The sequence below is a fragment of the Homo sapiens genome, chromosome 12, assembly GCF_000001405.40.
Source record: "Homo sapiens chromosome 12, GRCh38.p14 Primary Assembly".
NCBI lineage: Eukaryota > Metazoa > Chordata > Mammalia > Primates > Hominidae > Homo > Homo sapiens.
The window spans coordinates 69,801,319-69,823,717 of NC_000012.12; the positions used below are offsets into that span (position 1 = coordinate 69,801,319).

Genomic DNA, 22,399 nt, shown 5'->3' on the forward strand with positions numbered 1-22,399 from the left:
GTGGATATTAATCGTGGGTAAGGAGTGAACAGAGACTGGAATTGATGCCTTGAATCCTCGTCCAGATAATGAGGAAAGTTATTTTACCATAAGTGAATTGCCTTTCATAACAGTGTTTGGATTATAAAATAAATCAAACCAAAATTATCTGATTTCTTCCTTTTTCATTTGCTAAAGCCAAGCTAGTGGAACTTTGGAGAAGAATAATTTATAAAATTCGTTTACTGTAGAATACAATTTTGATATTTTTCTGCCAGTATAGCATCTAGTACTTTTTCTTTTTTTTTAAGTTGGCTTCAGCTGTTCTGGAGGCTGTGGAAAACAATACTCTAAGCATTGAACCAGTGGGATTACAACCTATCCGGTTTGTGAAAGCTTCTGCAGTTGAATGCGGAGGACCAAAGTAGGTTTTTACGTGCATGAACTGTGAAAGTGACTGAGTTTTTGAAATGTTATGGGTTGCAGTTATTTAGTTTTTCTGGTTTTAAATGTAGTTATATTTCCCTCAGATTTCTCTTAAGCGTCTGTGTAGCCTAGCCCAAAGACAAATTCCTGAGACAGTGTGGAATATAGTATTTCAGATTTAGCATTAAAGGAGAGCCCTTTTAATTATAGGTTGGTGCAAAAGTAATCGTGCTTGTTGCCATTGAAAGTAATGGCAACAAGCACAATTACTTTTGCACCAACCCAATACAGTAATATACATATATGATAGAGATCCAGGTAAACTAGAGATAGAAACCGGAGTTGTTTTTGTTTTTGTTTTTAACCTCATATTGTGACCTATTAGTGGATTGTGAAATCAGTTTAGTGGGTCATAAGTAGAATTTTTTTTATTACACGTATATGTGTAGCCATGTGTCCTGGGTTTCTGTATAAAATACTTCTCTCTGAGGGTGACCATCAAAAATAGTTTGGGAAGGTACTGAGTTAGACTAAGTCTTATCGATCATGAAAACTGTGTACCAAAAAGACTTGATGAGATCTCTCTTTTCATATTGTGTTTATAAAGGATTCTCACTTAAATAAATAATCAGTTTTGTCTTTCATATGTGAGTCTTACTTGAGAATTACAAATCTTCAGAGATAAGACTCCCACATTTCATAGCAGGGCAGACTTGTTTTCCATCCAGTCCTATAAGGAGGAATGACTGAAACCAACAGTGCTTAAAACATCTAGCAAAGACGAAAGGTTTTGCCTAAAACCGTGGCATAATTGTGTCTTGGCTTCTGTTTAAAAAATGACTTGGAAAGCTTTTGAGAAAGATGCTTATTAAGTGCTTAGAGCCAGATCAATATAGGGGACTGGAAAGACTGAGAGAGCTCATAGAAAGCATAACTGACTGCTGTCAGGGTTATTTTGAAGCCAGAAGAGGAAAAGACTGGTTGAGATGAACTAATAGGTCTGTGTTAAAGCTGTTGTAGGAATTGTGTGCTTGTTTCTATTCCCTGTTACGCACGTTACGGTCTCAGCAAGATTACAGAATGTTGTTGTTTAGGTGACCATTTGTTGGAGGGTTCCTAGTCATATGTTTGCTCTGTGAGCCACACGTCCACCTCGCTCCCTCAAGCCACACGTGTAGCACGGTGGCCTCTGAATTTTAGGGAAAGAATTTACATTCTTAAATTCTACAAATACCCAAGTATTTTTGTTCTGATCCTTCCACCCCAAATATGGAGAGTTAAATTTAATCATAGCAGTTTTCTTATTTTTAAGGTCTGTGTCATGCCTCATTTTAAATATAGCATATAACTGTTTTTATTGTAGAATTTAAAATTTGTGCTTGCATTATATATCACATATATATGTGCAGATATCATCAAATGATAACAAATGGGGATATCAAATTAAAGTGGATTTATAGTATCTTTAGTAAAATAATTATAGTTTAGATTTAGAGAACAGTTTACAAAGTTTAAGGATATTGTGCTTGTGGGAATGGGGCCAGAAACCAAGGTGATGCATATCGTGGAAAAAACTAAAGGAAGATACTGTCTTCCTTTATGAAATGTGAAGTGTGGCTTTGGCCGTGGTTCTTGTGAGCTAGAGTGTGAAGATAATGACTAAGTGAGTGGCACAGCACTGTAGGAATTTTGAGGAAGACAAGATCATTCAAACTATGATTAGGTACTCTTCTTGAAGGAAGAGAGATTTGGTTTAAGTTTTTTTTTTAATTTTTTTATTATTATTATTATACTTTAAGTTTTAAGGTACATGTGCACAACATGCAGGTTTGTTACATATGTATACATGGGCCATGTTGGTGTGCTGCACCCATTAACTCATCATTTAGCATTAGGTATATCTCCTAATGCTATCCCTCCCCACTCCCCCAACCCCACAACAGTCCCCGGTGTGTGATGTTCCCCTTCCTGTGTCCATATGTTCTCATTGTTCAGTTCCCACCTATGAGTGAGAATGTGCGGTGTTTGGTTTTTTTGTCCTTGCGATAGTTTGCTGAGAATGATGGTTTCCAGCTTCATCCATGTCCCTACAAAGGACATGAACTCATCATTTTTTATGGCTACATAGTATTCCATGGTGTATATGTGCCACATTTTCTTAATCCAGTCTGTCATTGTTGGACATTTGGGTTGGTTCCAAGTCTTTGCTATTGCGAATAGTGCCGCAATAAACATACATGTGCATGTGTCTTTATAGCAGCATGATTTATAGTCCTTTGGGTATATACCCAGTAATGGGATGGCTGGGTCAAATGGTATTTCTAGTTCTAGATCCCTGAGGAATCGCCACACTGACTTCCACAATGGTTGAACTAGTTTACAGTCCCACCAACAGTGTAAAAGTGTTCCTATTTCTCTACATCCTCTCCAGCACCTGTTGTTTCCTGACTGTTTAATGATCGCCATTCTAACTGGTGTGAGATGGTATCTCATTTTGGTTTTGATTTGCATTTCTCTGATGGCCAGTGATGATGAGCATTTTTTCATGTGTGTTTTGGCTACATAAATGTCTTCTTTTGACAAATGTCTGTTCATATCCTTTGCCCACTTTTTGATGGGGTTGTTTTTTTCTTGTAAATTTGTTTGAGTTCATTGTAGATTCTGGATACTAGCCCTTTGTCAGATGAGTAGGTTGCAAAAATTTTCTCCCATTCTGTAGGTTGCCTGTTCACTCTGATGGTGGTTTCTTTTGTTGTGCAGAAGCTCTTTAGTTTAATTAGATCCCATTTGTCAATTTTGGCTTTTGTTGCCATTGCTTTTGGTGTTTTAGACATGAAGTCCTTGTCCATGCCTATGTCCTGAATGGTATTGCGTAGGTTTTCTTCTAGGGTTTTTATAGTTTTAGGTCTAACATTTAAGTCTTTAATCCATCTTGAATTAATTTTTGTATAAGGTGTAAGGAAGGGATCCAGTTTCAGCTTTCTACATATGGCTAGCCAGTTTTCCCAGCACCATTTATTAAATAGGGAATCCTTTCCCCATTGCTTGTTTTTGTCAGGTTTGTCAAAGATCAGATAGTTGTAGATATGCGGCATTATTTCTGAGGGCTCTGTTCTGTTCCATTGGTCTATATCTCTGTTTTGGTACCAGTACCATGCTGTTTTGTTTACTGTAGCCTTGTAGTATAGTTTGAAGTCAGGTAGCGTGATGCCTCCAGCTTTGTTCTTTTGGCTTAGGATTGACTTGGCAATGTAGGCTCTTTTTTGGTTCCATATGAACTTTAAAGTAGTTTTTTCCAATTCTGTGAAGAAAGTTGTTGGTAGCTTGATGGGGATGGCATTGAATCTATAAATTACCTTGGGCAGTATGGCCATTTTCACAATATTGAGTCTTCCTACCCATGAGCATTGAATGTTCTTCCATTTGTTTGTATCCTCTTTTATTTCATTGAGCAGTGGTTTGTAGTTCTCCTTGAAGAGGTCCTTCACATCCCTTGTAAATTGGATTCCTAGGTATTTTATTCTCTTTGAAGCAGTTGTGAATGGGAGTTCACTCATGATTTGGCTCTCTGTTTGTCTGTTATTGGTGTATAAGAATGCTTGTGATTTTTGTACATTGATTTTGTATCCTGAGACTTTGCTGAAGTTGCTTATCAGCTTAAGGAGATTTTGGGCTGAGACGATGGGGTTTTCTATGTGTACAATCATGTCATCTGCAAATTGGGACAATTTGACTTCCTCTTTTCCTAGTTGAATGCCCTTTATTCCCTTCTCCTGCCTGATTGCCCTGGCCAGAACTTCCAACACTATGTTGAATAGGAGTGGTGAGAGAGGGCATCCCTGTCTTGTGCCAGTTTTCAAAGGGAATGCTTCCAGTTTTTGTCCATTCAGTATGATATTGGCTGTGGGTTTGTCATAGATAGCTCTTATTATTTTGAAATACGTCCCATCAATACCTAATTTATTGAGAGTTTTTAGCATGAAGGGTTGTTGAATTTTGTCAAAGGCCTTTTCTGCATCTATTGAGATAATCATGTGGTTTTTGTCTTTGGTTCTGTTTATATGCTGGATTACGTTTATTGATTTTCTTATGTTGAACCAGCCTTGCATCCCAGGGATGAAGCCCACTTGATCATGGTGGATAAGCTTTTTGATGTGTTGCTGGATTCGGTTTGCCAGTATTTTATTGAGGATTTTTGCATCAATGTTCATCAAGGATATTGGTCTAAAATTCTCTTTTTTTGTTATGTCTCTGCCCGGCTTTGGTATCAGGATGATGCTGGCCTCATAAAATGTGTTAGGGAGGATTCCCTCTTTTTCTATTTATTGGAATAGTTTCAGAAGGAATGGTACCAGCTCCTCCTTGTGCCTCTGGTAGAATTCGGCTGTGAATCCATCTGGTCTGGACTTTTTTTGGTTGGTAAGCTATTAATTATTGCCTCAATTTCAGATCCTGTTATTGGTCTATTCAGAGATTCAACTTCTTCCTGGTTTAGTCTTGGGAGAGTGTATGTGTCGAGGAATTTATCCATTTCTTCTAGATTTTCTAGTTTATTTGCATAGAGGTGTTTATAGTATTCTCTGATGGTAGTTTGTATTTCTGTGGGAGCAGTGGTGATATCCCCTTTATCATTTTTTATTGCACCTATTTGATTCTTCTCTCTTTTCTTCTTTATTAGTCTTGCTAGCGGTCTATCAGTTTTGTTGATCTTTTCAAAAAACCAGCTCCTGGATTCATTGATTTTTTTGAAGGGTTTTTTGCGTCTCTATTTCCTTCAGTTCTGCTCTGATCTTAGTTATTTCTTGCCTTCTGCTAGCTTTTGAATGTGTTTGCTCTTGCTTCTCTAGTTTTTTTTTTTTTTTTTTTTTTAGTATTTATTGATCATTCTTGGGTGTTTCTTGGAGGGGGTATGTGGCAGTGTCATAGGATAATAGTGGAGAGATGGTCAGCAGATAAACACGTGAACAAAGGTCTCTGGTTTTCCTAGACAGAGGTCCCTGTGGCCTTCCGCAGTGTTTGTGTCCCTGGGTACTTGAGATTAGGGAGTGGTGATGACTCTTAATGAGCATGCAGCCTTTAAGCATCTGTTTAACAAAGCACATCTTGCACTGCCCTTAATCCATTTAACCCTGAGTTGACACAGCACATGTTTCAGAGAGCACGGGGTTGGGGGTAAGGTTATAGATTAACAGCATCCCAAGGCAGAAGAATTTTTCTTAGTCCAGAACAAAATGGAGTCTCCTATGTCTACTTCTTTCTAGACAGACACAGTAACAATCTGATCTCTCTTTCTTTTCCCCACATTTCCCCCTTTTCTTTTCAACAAAACCGCCATCGTCATCATGGCCTGTTCTCGACGGTCGCTGTCTCTTCGGAGCTGTTGGGTACACCTCCCAGACGGGGCGGCCGGGCAGAGGTGCTCCTCACTTCCCAGACGGGGTGGCCGGGCAGAGGAGCTCCTCACATCCCAGACAGTGGGCGGCCAGGCAGAGGCTCTCCTCACCTCTCAGACGGGGCAGCCGTGCAGAGGCGCTCCTCACCTCCCAGACGGGGCAGCCGGGCAGAGGCGCTCCTCACCTCCCAGACGGGGCGGCCGGGCAGAGGCGCTCTTCACCTCCCAGACAGGGCGGCAGGGCAGAGGCGCTTCCCACCTCCCTGACGGGGCGGCCGGGAAGAGGCGCCCCTCACCTCCCAGACGGGGCGGCCGGGCGGAGGCGCTCCTCACATCCCAGACAGGACGGCTGGGCAGAGGCGCTCCTCACTTCCCAGACGACGGGCGGCCGGGCAGAGGCACTCCTCACCTCCCAGACAGGGTGGCTGGGCAGAGACGCTCCTCACCTCTCAGACAGGGCGGCCGGACAGAGGCGCTCGCTTCCTAGATGGGGCGGCCGGGCAGAGGCGCTCCTTACCTCCCAGACGAAGGGTGGCCGGGCAGAGGTGCTCCTCACATCCCAGACGATGGGCGGCCGGGCAGAGGCGCTCCTCACTTCCTAGATGGGGCGGCCGGGCAGAGGTGCTCACTTCCCAGATGGGGCGGCTGGGCAGAGGCGCTCCTCACCTCCCAGATGATGGGCAGCCAGGCAGAGGCGCTCCTCACCTCCCAGACGGGGCGGCCGTGCGGAGGCGCTCCTCACCTCCCAGACGGGGCGGCCGGGCGGAGACGCTCCTCACCTCCCAGATGGGGCGGCCGGGCGGAGGCGCTCCTCACCTCCCAGACGGGTTGGCCAGGCAGATCTCTAGTTCTTTCAATTGTGATGTTAGGGTGTCAATTTTAGATCTTTCCTGCTTTCTCTTGTGGGCATTTAGTGCTATAAATTTCCCTCTACACACTGCTTTGAATGCGTCCCAGAGATTCTGGTATGTTGTGTCTTTGTTCTCGTTGGTTTCAAAGAACATCTTTATTTCTGCCTTCATTTTGTTATGTACCCAGTAGTCATTCAGGAGCAGGTAGTTCAGTTTCCATGTAGTTGAGCAGTTGTGAGTGAGTTTCTTAATCCTGAGTTCTAGTTTGATTGCACTGTGGTCTGAGAGACAGTTTGTTATAATTTCTGTTCTTTTACATTTGCTGAGGTGTGCTTTACTTCCAACTATGTGGTCAACTTTGGAATAGGTGTGGTGTGGTGCTGAAAAGAATGTATATTCTGTTGATTTGGGGTGGAGAGTTCTGTAGATGTCTATTAGGTCTGCTTGGTGCAGAGCTGAGTTCAATTCCTGGATATCTTTGTTAACTTTCTGTCTCGTTGATCTGTGTTGACACAGTGGGGTTGTTGACAGTGGGGTGTTAAAGTCTCCCATTATTATTGTTTGGGAGTCTAAGTCTCTTTGTAGGTCACTAAGGACTTGCTTTATGAATCTGGGTGCTCCTGTATTGGGTGCATATATATTTAGGATAGTTAGTTCTTCTTGTTGAATTGATCCCTTTACCATTATGTAATGGTCTTGTCTCTTTTGATCTTTGTTGGTTTAAAGTCTGTTTTATCCGAGACTAGGATTACAACCCCTGCCTTTTTTTGTTTTCCATTTGCTTGGTAGATCTTCCTCCATCCCTTTATTTTGAGCCTATGTGTGTTTCTGCACATGAGATGGGTTTCCTGAATACAGCATACTGATGGGTCTTGACTCTTTATCCAATTTGCCAGTCTGTGTCTTTTAATTGGAGCATTTAGCCCATTTACATTTAAGGTTAATATTGTTATGTGTGAATTTGATCCTGTCATTATGATGTTAGCTGGTTATTTTGCTCATTAGTTGATGCAGTTTCTTCCTAGCCTTGATGGTCTTTACAATTTGGCATGTTTTTGCAGTGGCTGGTACCGGTTGTTCCTTTCCATGTTTAGTGCTTCCTTCAGGAGCTCTTTTAGGGCAGGCCTGGTGGTGACAAAATCTCTCAGCATTTGCTTGTCTGTAAAGTATTTTATTTCTCCTTCACTTATGAAGCTTAGTTTGGCTGGATATGAAATTCTGGGTTGAAAATTATTTTCTTTAAGAATGTTGAATATTGGCCCTCACTCTCTTCTGGCTTCTAGAGTTTCTGCCGAGAGATCAGCTGTTAGTCTGATGGGCTTCCCTTTGTGGGTAACCCGACCTTTCTCTCTGGCTGCCCTTAACATTTTTTCCTTTATTTCAACTTTGGTGAATCTGACAATTATGTGTCTTGGAGTTGCTCTGCTCGAGGAGTATCTTTGTAGCATTCTCTGTATTTCCTGAATTTGAATGTTGGCCTGCCTTGCTAGATTGGGGAAGTTCTCCTGGATAATATCCTGCAGAGTGTTTTCCAACTTGGTTCCATTCTCCCCGTCACTTTCAGGTACACCAATCAGACGTAAATTTGGTCTTTTCACATAGTCCCATATTTCTTGCAGGCTTTGTTCATTTCTTTTTATTCTTTTTTCTCTAAACTTCTCTTCACGCTTCATTTCATTCATTTTGTCTTCCATCACTGATACCCTTTCTTCCAGTTGATTGCATCGGTTACTGAGGCTTGTGCATTCGTCACGTAGTTCTCATGCCATGGTTTTCAGCTCCATCAGGTCCTTTAAGGACTTCTCTGCATGGGTTATTCTAGTTATCCATTCGTCTAATTTTTTTCAAGGTTTTTAACTTCTTTGCCATTGGTTCGAACTTCCTCCTTTAGCTCAGAGAGTTTGATCTTCTGAAGCCTTTCTCTCTCAACTCGTCAAAGTCATTCTCCATCCAGCTTTGTTCCGTTGCTGGTGAGGAGCTGCGTTCCTTTGGAGGAGGAGAGGCGCTCTGATTTTTAGAGTTTCCGGTTTTTCTGCTCTGTTTTTTCCCCATCTTTGTGGTTTTATCTACCTTTGTTCTTTGATGATGGTGACGTACAGATGGGTTTTTGGTGCAGATGTCCTTTCTGTTTGTTAGTTTTCCTTCTAACAGTCAGGACCCTCAGCTGCAGGTCTGTTGGAGTTTACTGGAGGTCCACTCCGGACCCTGTTTGCCTAGGTATCAGCAGTGGTGGCTGCAGAACAGCAGATAGTGCTGAACCGCAAATGCTGCTGCCTGATCGTTCCTCTGGAAGTTTTGTCTCAGAGGAGTACCCGGCAGTGTGAGGTGTCAGTCCGCCCCTACTGGGGGGTGCCTCCCAGTTAGGCTACTCGGGGGTCAGGGAGCCACTTGAGGAGGCAGTCTGCCTGTTCTCAGATCTCAAGCTGCGTGCTGGGAGAACCACTGCTCTCTTCAAAGCTTAGCTGGAAATGCAGAAATCACCCGTCTTCTGTGTGGCTCACGCTGGGAGCTGTAGACTGGAGCTGTTCCTATTCGGCCATCTTGGCTCCACCCTCCAGAAATAAAAACTGGTTTAGGTTTTTGAAGCATAAGGGTAATTTGGATAAAGAGCAATACATAACAACTGAAGGCCTAGAAACAAATCAAAGTGCGTTCAAAGGATGGTCAGTGTATGGAGAGGAAAGGGAAGATGTGACATTTTAAGAAAGAAAAGTTAGATTGGGGTGGGGGGATGGGTAAAGGAGAAAGGAGTTAGAGATATCTGACTGGAAGACTGATTTGAAGTGATTGTGGAAATTAATGGAAAAGGCTTTGATTTGTGGAAGAGGATTACGGTCTAGATTTAGACATATTGACATCCTCACATGAAAATGGGAAACAAGGATTTGAAATCTTGGGACTAGAGTTATAGAGATTTATTAATGTAGTGTAGCATGTTTGGGAAAAAAATGGAGTTGGAGGTCAGAGGTCTGTTTGCATTGAATCCTGGCTTAACTAAAAATACATTAGGTGTGTCCAGTTTACAAAATAGCTTAGAAATGAGATCTTTTAAGAAACGCTATACACCATGGAATACTATACAGCCATAAAAAAGAATGAGATCATGTCCTTTGCAGGGACATGGCTGGAGCTGGAGGCCGTTATCCTTAGCAACCTAATGTAGGAGCAGAAAACCACATGCTGCCTGTTCTCCCTTATAAGTGGGAGCTAAATGATGAGAACACATGGACACATAGAAGGGAACAACACACACTGCCGCTTGTGGAAGGGTGGAGGATGGGAAGAGGGAGAAGATCAGGAAGAATAATGGATACTTATTCTTCCTGAATCACCCAGGGTGATGAAATAATATATACAACAAACCCGCATGACACATGTTTACCTATGTAATAAACCTGCACACCCTGCAGTTGTACTCCTGAACTTACAAGTTAAAAAAAAGAAACACTTATTATTTTAAAAGTTGATACTTAAAGCCACCTTACCAGATCCCTTTCAAAATTAGGCTAAACAGTAGACCAGCAGGCATATGTCTGTTTCCAGAAGAATAGTGTATAAATTGGTTTTTAGCAGCTTAATGGCACATTTTCCTCTTATGCAAATTATACTTTTGGAAGTTCCACAGACTTCCAACACTTTGTGCTTTAAATTTCTGTATCTTCTATCCTCCCCAAGCTAGTAGTTAGTGCTTTTAAATATTGTTACAGATCATTAAAGGAATTTGCTAATAAAGAAACAATGAAGAAATATCTATTTGAAAAAAGACAGGAATTGATTTGTGATTTGAATTGCCCCCTCCTCAAAAATTATCCTGTTTCAAATACACATTGTTGTGTGTTTTCTTAATACAAAGGCACTTTTGTATTATATTTCTTGTATCGCTAAAATGTAATGTTATTTAATATATTTACTATATAATTTATACTGTCATATAAAATGCTGTTTGCCACTTACTTAGAGCTATGCTAATTTTGCATTGATGGGGAGTGATAGTTGTATTGAGCCAGGTTCCTAGCTTAGGGTGACAGCTGGGCTGCTGCAAGTCCGGCCTGATAGACATGCTAGCTTTATCTCATGGAGCCATAGGGTAACAGATGGCTCATTACTTATTCAGCAGTCATTGAATGTGTGCTGTGTGCCAGGCATTTAAAGATGAATCAAAGTCCCTGCCCTCAAGAGGTTGATAGCCTAATCCCAGCCAGAAAGCCCTCATATAAAATTTTAGCTTTTGTCATATGCAAATAGAAAGGATCATGTGAAATTCAGTGAACTTGTTACATGATTGTTAAGATTCAGTATTTTTATAAGGTGGCTTATTCCTTTGTACTTCTCCCTAGGTCCCACATTAAATGCATATAGAGCAACCAACCAACCAAATAAACAAATACCCCATCTGGAAACTATTACCCTGCAAGCTATCAATAACATGCTTTGAGACTTGAACAGTCATCATGAGGATATTTTCAGCTGAGAAGCTGAAATCCTGATGGAAAGCTGAGAGCTGTCCTGCAGCTGATTACTGATTTGTAAATTTGTTCCAAGATGGGACATACATGGAAAACACCTAGTTTCTGTTTCTAGAATCATGGTTAATGTTATGGCATTAAACTTATACTACTAATAGAATGTAAGTCTCACAAGGGCAGAGACTTTGTCCTTTTCATCACTTTAGCCCAGCATCTAGAACGGTGCCTGGTACACAGTAGGTTCTCAAATATTTGTTATCTAACTGAATGAATAGGCAACTTGTACAGAAGGTAGGGGCAAATGCTTTTCATTTCAAAAAACTGAAATTTATCATTATTTCACAGAAAATGTGCTCTCACTGGCCAGAGTAAGTCCTGTAAACACAGAATTAAATTAGGGGACTCAAGCAACTATTATTATATTTCTCCTTTTTGCAGATACAGGGTAAGTGACTTAACCATGAATTTTAATAAAGCTTGCTTTGATATGGGACATTTGACCATTCATGACATTTTCTCCATTTGGCCTAGATCACTTCTGTATGTAACTTTTTTACATACATTCGATACATTCAGCAGGGACTCGTGAAACAGCAGGATGGTGAGTGTTCTTGATTCAATATAAGTCTTTACATAAAAGTTCAGCAAAAAGTATAAGTAAAGTTCAACAAAAAGTATAGAATAGTAGTAATGCTCATATCAGCTTTATTGTTGGTACATTTATATTGAATCCCTTCTATAGTTCTAATAAAATTTGTGGAGAATTTGGGAACAAATGTCTTTTAGAAAAATATTGTGTTTAATTATTTTATTTGCCTCATTTTACTCTTAATTTTGAATTTTAAGCAGGGTCAGTTTTAACTCATAAGGGGTATATGATAAACCAGATGGTAAATGAGAAGAGAGTTCTAAGCTCATTGAATTGACTCTTTAAGAGATGAAAATGAGTAGGCCAGCAAAGTGGTCAGATTTATTTTAATTGATGGAAACCATCATGGAGCTCAAAATTAAGTTTTCCCTGTATTTTCTACTTTTTGCGTGTGAATTAATAAAGCAGTCATGAGGATAATTCTGAATGGAATAAAGATTGCCATATTCTAAATCAGCAGAAATGTGCAGGTGATATATCCAGGAGAACCAACCTCATGAAAGTGTGTTAATATTTTTAATACAATTTTATAGCTAAATATCTTAAATATCAGGCATGAAAACTAATATGGCCTGACAGCTCCAAAGCAGTATCTCTCGAGCACAAATGATAGTTTAAAAAAAAAAATAGCAGATACTAGGCTAGGGACAAGTCTGTGCCAGTTAGTATTTAAAGTTTTACAAAATTTCCCTGTTTATATTTTTTAGGCACTGAAAATATTATCTTGCTTAAACACTGGTAGAAGCCTACCATCTTTCAATCATGTAAAGCAGTGAATCTTAATTCTATGGAGAAGTTAGTCACGCTGATAAAAACTTAGTTTAGCCTTTCTCAAGGTCTGGTATGTTGAAAAATGTCATATTTCTTTAAAATCCCATATAGTTGGATTTTAATGCCTAAAACATTAGAGATAAAACCTGTTAACCTAATAACCTGATAACCTAATTAATGTTGAATTTCAAAAGGCCTAATAACATAAAAACAGTCTTTAAACTGTGTAATACTTTTTTTGACTTTAATAAAACTGAATTCTTTTTGAATACCTGTTGATGGATAATATAATTTAAGCCAGAGAACAGAAAATTTATGTTAAGTATAATTGCCAAGAATATAATATTTTTCTGTTTGTTTAAATAAGAAGCTTGGAAAGACAGAAAGATAATTTACTTTATGAAAATAGGAAGAAAGTGTTACGAGTAATGAATGGTGAGGGTGTTGATAATAAAAGTAGTATATCTTCTCTGGTTTCTGTCACTCTTCCACTTTATGATATTTAGTACATATCATTTAGTATGTGTGTTTGTTGTAAACAGGTATTAGTCTTAAAATCTGTTTATTATATGTGCCTTGTGCCAACAAAGGATTTAGGGCAGCTAAATCTAAAGCAGAATTTCTCGACCTTGGTACTAGTGACATTTTGAGCTGGATAATTCTTTGTTGTGGGGGACGGTCTTGTGCATTTGTAAGATGTTTAATAGCATCCCTAGCTTTTACTCATTAGATACCTGTAGCACCCCCGAGATGGGACAGTGAAAAATGTTTCTATTCATTGCCAAACGTACCCTGGAGTGGCCAGGGAATGAGGAGTGGTGGTGGTGGTAGTGGTGGAATCTTCCCTGATTGAGAACCATTGATCTAAATGAATATAATCTGATCATATATCAAACGAAGACCTTTTATTGTCTGAAATAAGGAGCCAACGTTTTTCCACTTACAGTGGGAACTTACAAAAGTATAGGTAATTGAATTTACAATTCATCTTCCACATGCATTTTTATTTCTAATTTGAGCCATACACAAAACCTTTCTGTTACTTCTCACAACGTTACTGAGTTTTCTGGATTGTCTTGTTTTCTTTTTTTGCCCTTCACCCTCTGGTAGTGTTAATGAAGAGTAAAATGGCCGCGATATAACAAACTAGAGCAAGAAGATTCGTAAGTTAGAGAATAGCTCGAATAATTGAGTATTGAGTATATTCACTTAATGAAGGTAACAGCATTGACATTTACTCAGGATGCTGAATGTCTACCTTTTCTTGGGCTAAAATGATAGTCTCTGATGTATTTAACAAATAATTGTGACAAAACTGGTGACTTTTGCTTTATTGATAAAACTGGGATGGTCACAAGTCTGTGGAAAAGTTTATGTGAATTATTGAAAAAATGTAGGTACATCTTTAGGAAATGCACAATTGACATTTCAGCTAAGGTTTTCAGCGAAACATTAAAAATAATGAAGATGGTATTTTATGATTTAAATATCTCTCTTTTCTGTTTGTATAGTTGATCAGATGTTTTGGGAGGTTATGCAGTTGAGAAAAGAGATGTCATTGGCAAAGCTGGGTTATTTCAAAGAGGAACTCTGATGCTCTGCGTGGGACCATGCCTGAACTCCCCGAATAACTGAAAAATGGCTGAATATTTTTATGGTTACTTGATATTTATTTCCAAGGAGTGAGCCTAAGACTTTTTTCCCCTTTTGCAAATTGCTCTAAGAAGTACCATGATTTCTTTTAAACTGATCTATGCTGTGTTTGCTTATTCTTTAGTTGAACACACTATGAAGAATTCCAGGTGTACTAGTGAATGTAATTTATAGTTGCCAAAAAAAAAAAAAACCTGAAATAAATAAATGTTAGATTGAATGTGTGTACATTTTCTCTTCTAGCTCTGACATGGCATTTAGGGTTAGCAGAATGTATTAAATAGTAATTTTCAAACTACACAGTAGCTTCCTTCCTTGTGAGAGGCAAGAAAGAAGTCTGAGTGGATAGTACTCACTTTCCAAGGCCCCCACCTCTAGAATGGCTTTATTTTTATCTGTTTTCTATATTGGGTTTCAAAAAAGATTTTATTTGAAGAAATACTTCTGCTGCTACAAAGTTTGAAAGTTACTATTTTAATTATTCTGCTCTCTGTAACTGAAAGAATCCCTTTATTTTGGTTATTCATTAAAATATAATAGAAGGCAGTCAGATTTTATCCCAGAGATGTATTCCTGAGTGTCTTGATATAGTGTATTCATGTTTTATATGTGTTGACCACTATATTGTCATTGGAGGGACATAGATGTAAATGAGTTTGACGTGTGTCAAAGGGGTTTAAAGGGGTGTGGATTGAATGAATGGTACGTGCGAAGTATATGCTGATTATAGAACCACTTGATCTCTGCATTCCAAATTGTAAAACTGACTCAACTGGAGAAATTATAACAAAGAGGTTTGTGGTAGACATGTAATAAGTATAGAAAAGCAAAAAGAAAAGAGAAACTGCTTTAGTTTCTGTTTAGAGAAAGCTGCTGTTAATATTTTTGGATAGTAGCCTTTCAGCTTTCAGATATTTTCTACTTACATATGCATATTTTTGAAACAAAAAGTAGGCTTTTTTTTTGCTTTTTAAACCTAAACATTAAATATATTTTCCCTTGGGTAAACCTACACATCCTAATCCCTGTTTATAGAATTTTAACATAATTTAATTGTGTTTGGAGATGAGGTGGTTTTCAGTTTATTTTTCATATTATAATGCTGTGACGAGTATCCTTATCTGTACACTTCTGAACATTGTGGAGTTCTTTCATGTGGATGCCTGGAGATAAAATTGTGTCGAGATATATATGTATTTTTAAATGTTTGATCTGCATTGCTAGATTGCCATCCAGAAAAGTTAATCAATTTGTATTCACAGCAGCAGTGTACAAGAGGGCTGGTTTTCTGAAGATAACATTTTTTTCAGTCCTGTTCAGAGGTTTGGTCAATCTTACCTGTAGATGACTTCAGCCACCAGGCTGGATGGGAGCCCACAGACAAAAGGACATTGGTGTATGTTATGGTGAAAACCATCAGTACCATGCCTAGCTCAAGAATGTGAAATTGAACCTGAAAAAAACTTTGAACCTACAATTTTATGTTCTGAAAATAGTTATTCTAATGTGAGGGCATTAATAAGAATATGTACCATCAAAGCTTCAGAAGATTTTCCGTACAAACTAAAATCACTTTTGGAGAAAGTACCTAAATAAAAAGAGAAACAAATCCAGGAGATACTGTACGGTTTGAAAGAAAGGTAATCAAATACTCAGAAAAAGTTTGTTGATGACTTAAAAAGGATAAATAAAAAGTAAGACTAAAGAAAATCAGTATACCCATTAATAATAAATCTTTAGTAATCTATAAGGGGAAGAATGCTTTTCAACCTTATACACTAGAAGCATGCTCTTTAAAATTAATGCAACAGGATGACGACTTGATGTAGAAACTATATGTGGAATTATAGATTAAAATGTGATTGAAACATATTTAGAAAATGTGATTATCTTCCTGATCCTACTCCCTTTAGGAAGAACTTCTTAAACTGGAAGCAGGAAAAAAAAAAACCATAAAAGATAACCATAAAAGAATATAAGTTATGGTATATTATAAATTCTTAATTTAGAAATCGTGCATCAGTAGTTAGGCATTGTGGCTCATGCCTGTAATCCCAGCACTTTGGGAGGCAGAGGCAGAAGGATTACTTGAGCTGCTTGAGCCCAGGAGTTTGAGACGGGCCTGGGAAAAATAGGGAAACTCCATTTACACACACACACACACACACACACACACACACACTGTGTCCATGAACTTGGGAGGATGAGGTGGGAGGATTGCTTGAGCCCAGGGGTTCAAGTCCAACTTGGGCAACATAGGGAGACCTTGTCTCTAAAAAAAAAACTAAAGCTAAACTACAAACTGTGAGGCAATATCTGCAACATTTATAACTAGTAATAGCTTAGTATCAAGAATGTATGCAGAAATTCTACAAACCAACAAAAAAGGACAGTGTCACAGAAAAACAGGCAAAAGACTGAACCAGGCCTTCCACACAATTAGAAGTGCATGTGGGCCAATAAACATTAAGAGGTTTTCATCTCTCAATCAGGAAAACGTAAATCAAGATGACAATGACATGTTCAAATTCATTCGATTGGTGAAAATGAAGAAACACAAAGTCAAGTTTTGGAGAGGGTTTTAGTCATTAGGATCACTCACATATTGCTGATGGGGGTATCAATTGGTATATCCACTGTGAAAAACCATTCACTAGAAAAGTTGGGCCAGGCCCAGTGGCTCATGCCTCTTGGCTTTGGGAGGCCAAGGTAGGAGGATCACTTGAGCCCAAGAGTTCAAGACCAGCTTGAGCAACATAGGGAGACCACATCTGCACAAAAAGATTTTTTTGAATTAGCTGGGCATGGTGGTGCATGCCTGTGGTCCCAGCTACTTGGGAAGCTGAGGTGGAAGGATTGCTTAAGCCCAGGAGGTTGAGGCTGCAGTGAATCATGATTGTGCCACTGCACTCTTACCTTGGGTGACAGAGTAAGATCATACCTTAAAAAAAAAAAAAAAGTATACCCATGGGTCAGCAATTTCACTTTTCAGTATATACTTGAGAAATGCTTGCACAGGTCCCCCAGATCACACATATAAGAATGTTCTGGAATAAATTAAAATGTCTATTTTTAGGAAGGTGTAATGTGTTCACAGAATGGGTGATTATTACATGGCAGCAAAATGAATGAATACCAGCTACTTGCAGCACAATAACTCAGAATGAAAAAGCAATTCTGAGAAAACTATATGTGACATGATACTTTTCTTATAAAAGTCAAGAACAACTAAAACTGAACAGCTGTTTAGGCATTGACATATGTGACAAAACTTTTAAAAAGTAATAAAGTTCAAGATAGTGGTTACCTCTGGAGAGGTAGAGGAGGAGCAAATCTATGAGTAAGTCACTGGTAATGTTTTAGTCCCTGGGTTAGGTGGTGGGTTTTGGGGTGGTTCATTTGTCATTAAAAGTAAGTACATGAGCTGGGTGTAGTGGTGCGTGCTTATAGTCCCAGCTACTTGGGAGTCTGAGATAGGAAGATCCTTGAGGCCAGTTCAAGGCTATAGTGTGCTATGATTTCACCTGTGAATAGCTACTATATTCCAACCTGGGCAACGTAGACCTTGCCCCCCTTTAAAAAAATTCAAAAACAAAATAAATGCATGGACAAATGAATAAGAGAGTTATGCATGGAACATCGGTGGTGTATTATGAATCAAGCATTATTACTAGCTCAGTTATATGTGCCTTCATTCCAAAACAAAAAATAAAAGGTAAGAAAATTGTTGAATTGCATTTGAGAGAGAGGAAAGGAAAGAATTCAGGTCTGAATCTTAGGCTTTTGGCTTGAGCTATTGCAGTTTATTGAGATGGGGAAATACATGGTGGGGAAAGTTTGGGTATGTGCATAACAGAGACAGAAATTCAGTGTTTGACAGATCAAGTGTGAGGTGCCCACTGAGCATCAAAGTGGATATGTTAAGCAGGTATTGGATGTACAAATCTAAATTCAGTAAGGTCAGTCCAGGAGAAAATTTGGGGAGTAGTTAGCCATGGGATCAGATGGGCGCTTTAGGGACACTTTGGAGATGAAGTACAGCACTGAGCCCTGAGTTCCTGTGACAGAGAAGCAGCCTGCAAAGACGAAAGGAGGAGCTGTTAGGAAGAGCAAGGCAACAGAAAAGGAAGAACCAGCATGCTGATTATGTTCAGGAGAGTGTTTCTACGCTGAATTTAATTGCCAAGATTACCAATTCTAAAGAAGAGGAGGACTCTTGGACAAGTTTTTAGAAGTTGGTTTGGAGCTGGGGTGAGAGCCTGGCCTAATGGAGACAGCTCTGGATTGGGAGTCACTTAGACCTACATTCTGGTCTAGGTTTGGCTCCCAAAAACTGGGAAGGTTAGTTAGGTGGCCACTCCTCTCTCTTCATGGTCTCTCTCAGCTTGAAGACAATTTACAGTCTTTGACTAAGCATCCACACTGGAAGAACAAGATTTGGTTTCTGAACATTGGGTCTTAGTCCTTAAAATAACTTGCAACCTGTTACGTCTTCACTTACTCCCATCGCCACCACAAGAATCCTGTGTGTTTTTGTTTTGTGCATCCAGTCTAAAACGGGTCTGCTTTTATTCATAGGCTTTTGTTTTCAGTGGTTTTTGTTGTTGCATTTTTCCCTAGATAAAATGTTTTTTCTATAAGACACTGCTTAAAAGAGTCCAATGCAGTATGAATTTGTATTTGTGTTTAACTTTTGTGCTTAACAGATCTGCCATGGCTGAACTCTCAGTTGCTTAAGCAAAATTCTGGGGCTTATTCTAGGTTCCTTTATTTGTCATTGTCACTCCCATTCCAGTTATCAGCAAATTCCATCAGCTGTCTCCGAGACATCTTAAATCTGTCTACCTCCCTCCATGTCCACTGCTACCACTCTGCCCAAGCTATTATCATCTTTCACCTGAACTCCTGCACTAATGTCTGCTGTCCTTGCATCCACTCCTGCCCTCCTACAATCACTGACGGCAGCCGCAGGGATCTTTATAAAACGAAAATCAGATAATGTCACTTCCCTGCTTAAAGCCCTTTGAGTGGCTTCCCATTGCACTTAGAAAAAAAAAAAAAAAAAAAAACTGGCCAGGTGCGATGGCTCATGCCTGTAATCCCAGCACTTTGGGAGGCCGAGGCGGGCGGATCCCCTGAGGTTGGTAGTTCGAGACCTGCTTGGCCAACATGGAGAAACCCTGTCTCTACTAAAAACACAAAATTAGTCAGGTGTGATGGCGCATGCCTGTAATCCCAGCTACTTGGGAGGCTGAGTCAGGAGAAACGCTCGAACCCAGGAGGCAGAGGTTGTGGTGAGTTGACATCACGCCATTGCACTCCAGCCTGGGCAACAAGAGTGAAACTCCGTCTGAAAAAAAAAAAAAAAAACCCAAACTCAATAGAAAATCAAGTTTTCATAGTGGTAGTTGTTAACAGAGAAATAACAATGAAAGCTTTAAAAAACTCCATGAAAATTTGCAAAACTTAAAAAAAAAATGTAGAAGAGGACTAAACTTGATAAAATATTAAAAGAATTGAAACCCTTCCTAAAGGCAGCTTCTCAAGGGAGCACAAGTTCACACACAGTTTACTTTTGGAGGAACGTCTGAGGTCATGAGGACTAGATTCTAGAGCTACAGGTCTCAGGGACAGTCTCGAGGGATACAGGGCCCCCATCACCACATCCCCAGATTTAACCGCAGCAGCTCAGCTTTTATCTGTATCTGTTGGAGCTCTCTAGGAAATGTCAATACCAAAGCAAACCCAAATCACAACTAGATTAGATTACTATTCAAGAGAATGATTCTCTACCGAAACTCTGCAAAATGGGGATATCAAGAGAGTTGGAAAATGTAAGACGTAAAGACCATAATCAGGAAAATACGCATCATATTTGTTATTCACTGAGAGGGAGGAATTTCCACTTAAATCCTATTTCCAGCAGCTGGATTGTGCTCTCAGTGGAGTGCTCTGGATTCTGATTAATAGAGATTTTCTAGTCCTCCCAGCAACTTCCTTCTCAATTCTCTTCACTTTCCGCAGATCTCGGCACCAGGGTTGCATCTTGTGGGCTCCATTGTGTTTTCACACAATGTGCTATTTGTCCTTCACAGTGTTTTGGTTTATTTTTCTGTTTGTCCATCTTGTTTTTGAACAATTGCCAGCATTTAAAAATGAGGAAATCTAAAATCTGCATTTCAAGCTGCTCTTTTTTAAAATGTGCCGTTTCGACAACACTGAGCCCACAGTCTTGAATGACAACACTTGGGTGGAGCTGAGTGACTCCACCTGTCGGGTGGCTACACCCTTGCTCAGGGTATGCACTCCATGGTTTGCTCTATGGCCCACCATCCTGGATTGTCTCCCTGACACCAAGGCTAAGGGACCCACTTTACTCACTTATCTGCTGGGCCTTGGAAGTATTTCAGTTCGGAACCCCAATTCTAACCTTAGCTTCTCAGGCCATTAAATGAAATCTCATTTCTATGATGCTTCCTGTCACATCACTGTGCTGCTGAGAACATGAAGTCTGTGGGTGAATTGGTGGACGGGATCCAGAATCATTACTTGGCAGTGGATTATAGTGTGATGACTCATTTCCGGTGGTCTCCAGGAGACTTGGCTGGGAGCTTCTCTTGGAGTCTAGGGTTAGCCAGAGGCTACATGTTTTAGGCATCTTAATTCATATTTTATCTAAAGGCATATAAATCCTTAAAAAAAATCATTTGACTTCATCCTTGCTCCCTACATCCAGCCAGTAACCATTGCTTTGTTTTACATCGCGTGCTTCAGGCTTTACTACAGCCTACCTGGATTTTGCAGTAGCTTCTTAAACTGCTTAAACTTTGGATATTGCCCCAGCCAACACATTCTGCCACAGAGATCTCTCTGAGTTAAATGGGATTGTATCATGCCCCACACCCAAGCAGATAGAAACTGTCAATAGATACACTTAGAATGAATATGCATGGAATCAAATTACATTCAGAATCTACCACTATAGGTAGTGAATACAACAGGATAGCAGAGGCTGGGAAGGGTAATGGGGGTTGGGGGGTGGGAGGATAAAGGGGTTGGGTAATGGGTGTAAAAATCTATAGAAGGAATATGATCTGTTGTTTGGTAGCACAATAGGGTAAATACAGTTAATAATTTATTGTATATTTCACAATAAAGGAGTGGATTTGGAATGTTCTCAACACAAATGATAAATGTTTGAGGTGATGGATACCCCAATTACCCTGATTTGATCATTATACGTTGTATGTTTGTATCAAAATATCATATGTACCCCATAAATATGTACAACTATTATGTATCCATAAAAATTGGAAATAAACTACCACCATCTTTCTTCAGCCTATTTTCCTATCTCCTCTCGCACCATACTAGGCACACAATCTCTGTACCTGTGCTGTCTTCCAAGCCATTGCTCATGTTTTAAGAAATATACTTATTGTTTAATATATCCTGTACCACTGTAGGATGACTGTAGTTAACAATAATGTGTAGTTTCAAATAGCTAATAGCTGGAAGGAAGTTGTTGAATGTTTCCAACATAAAGAAATGATAAGTGTTTGAGATGATGGATATGCTAATTACCCTGATCTGATCACTACACATTATATGTATGGAAATATCATTGTGTACCCCATGAATATGGGCAATTATTATTTGTTAATTAAAAAAATAAAAAAAAGACCCACCCACTGTTTAAGTGTATCTACATCCTAGCTCTTTGTGGCACCTTTCCAGATCCTCCCAGATTAAATTACTGTCCTTTCTCTGTTCTCTTGAGACATTTTCCCAGCTATCAGTCTGCCCTGAGTTACAGTCACTTGTGTTTTTCTCATGCCCTAGATTTCAGTTTATGGAGGGCAGGGACTATTATTTATTCATTTTTTTATTTCCTGCACCCAGCAGATAGCTTCACACAATTGTTGAAAATTCATTTCTTTAAACAACTTGATGACTTGTCCTTATAGATCTGACAGCCAGTGTGACCGTCAAAAGAAGCTCCTAAACCTTTTCTTTTCTAAGCTAAACTTAGTTTGCTCATTTTCAAGTAACAGTATATGTGTGTAAAATATGTTTGGAATTATGTCACCTACAATTCTAATAATGAAACAATAGACAAATTTGGAAAATGGGTATTCTACAAGGCAATGAGCCTGGACTATAGAAAAAAGTCAAAATCATGAAGAGCACAAATCAAAATGACAAGGGGACT

At 39.4% G+C, this 22,399-nt stretch overlaps 1 protein-coding gene across 15 annotated transcripts in view; it reads left to right on the forward strand.

Annotated features, from left to right (window-relative positions):
- Window positions 1-21,886, forward strand: part of RAB3IP (RAB3A interacting protein) — an 84,963-nt gene extending 63,077 nt beyond the window's left edge. For 5 of the 15 annotated variants that reach the window (XM_006719226.4, NM_001024647.3, NM_001278402.1 and 2 more), the window contains 4 exons: window positions 291-403; window positions 11,460-11,559; window positions 11,646-11,715; window positions 14,046-21,886. In XM_006719226.4, coding sequence (XP_006719289.3) covers window positions 291-403; window positions 11,460-11,559; window positions 11,646-11,715; window positions 14,046-14,128 — 366 coding nt within the window. In that variant the 3' untranslated portion in view covers window positions 14,129-21,886. Of the gene's footprint in view, window positions 1-290; window positions 404-11,459; window positions 11,560-11,645; window positions 11,716-14,045 lie in introns of those variants that run through there. The other 10 variants (XR_007063038.1, XR_007063039.1, XM_047428266.1 and 7 more) reach the window with 5 other exon arrangements.
- The last annotated feature ends 513 nt before the right edge of the window (window positions 21,887-22,399 follow it).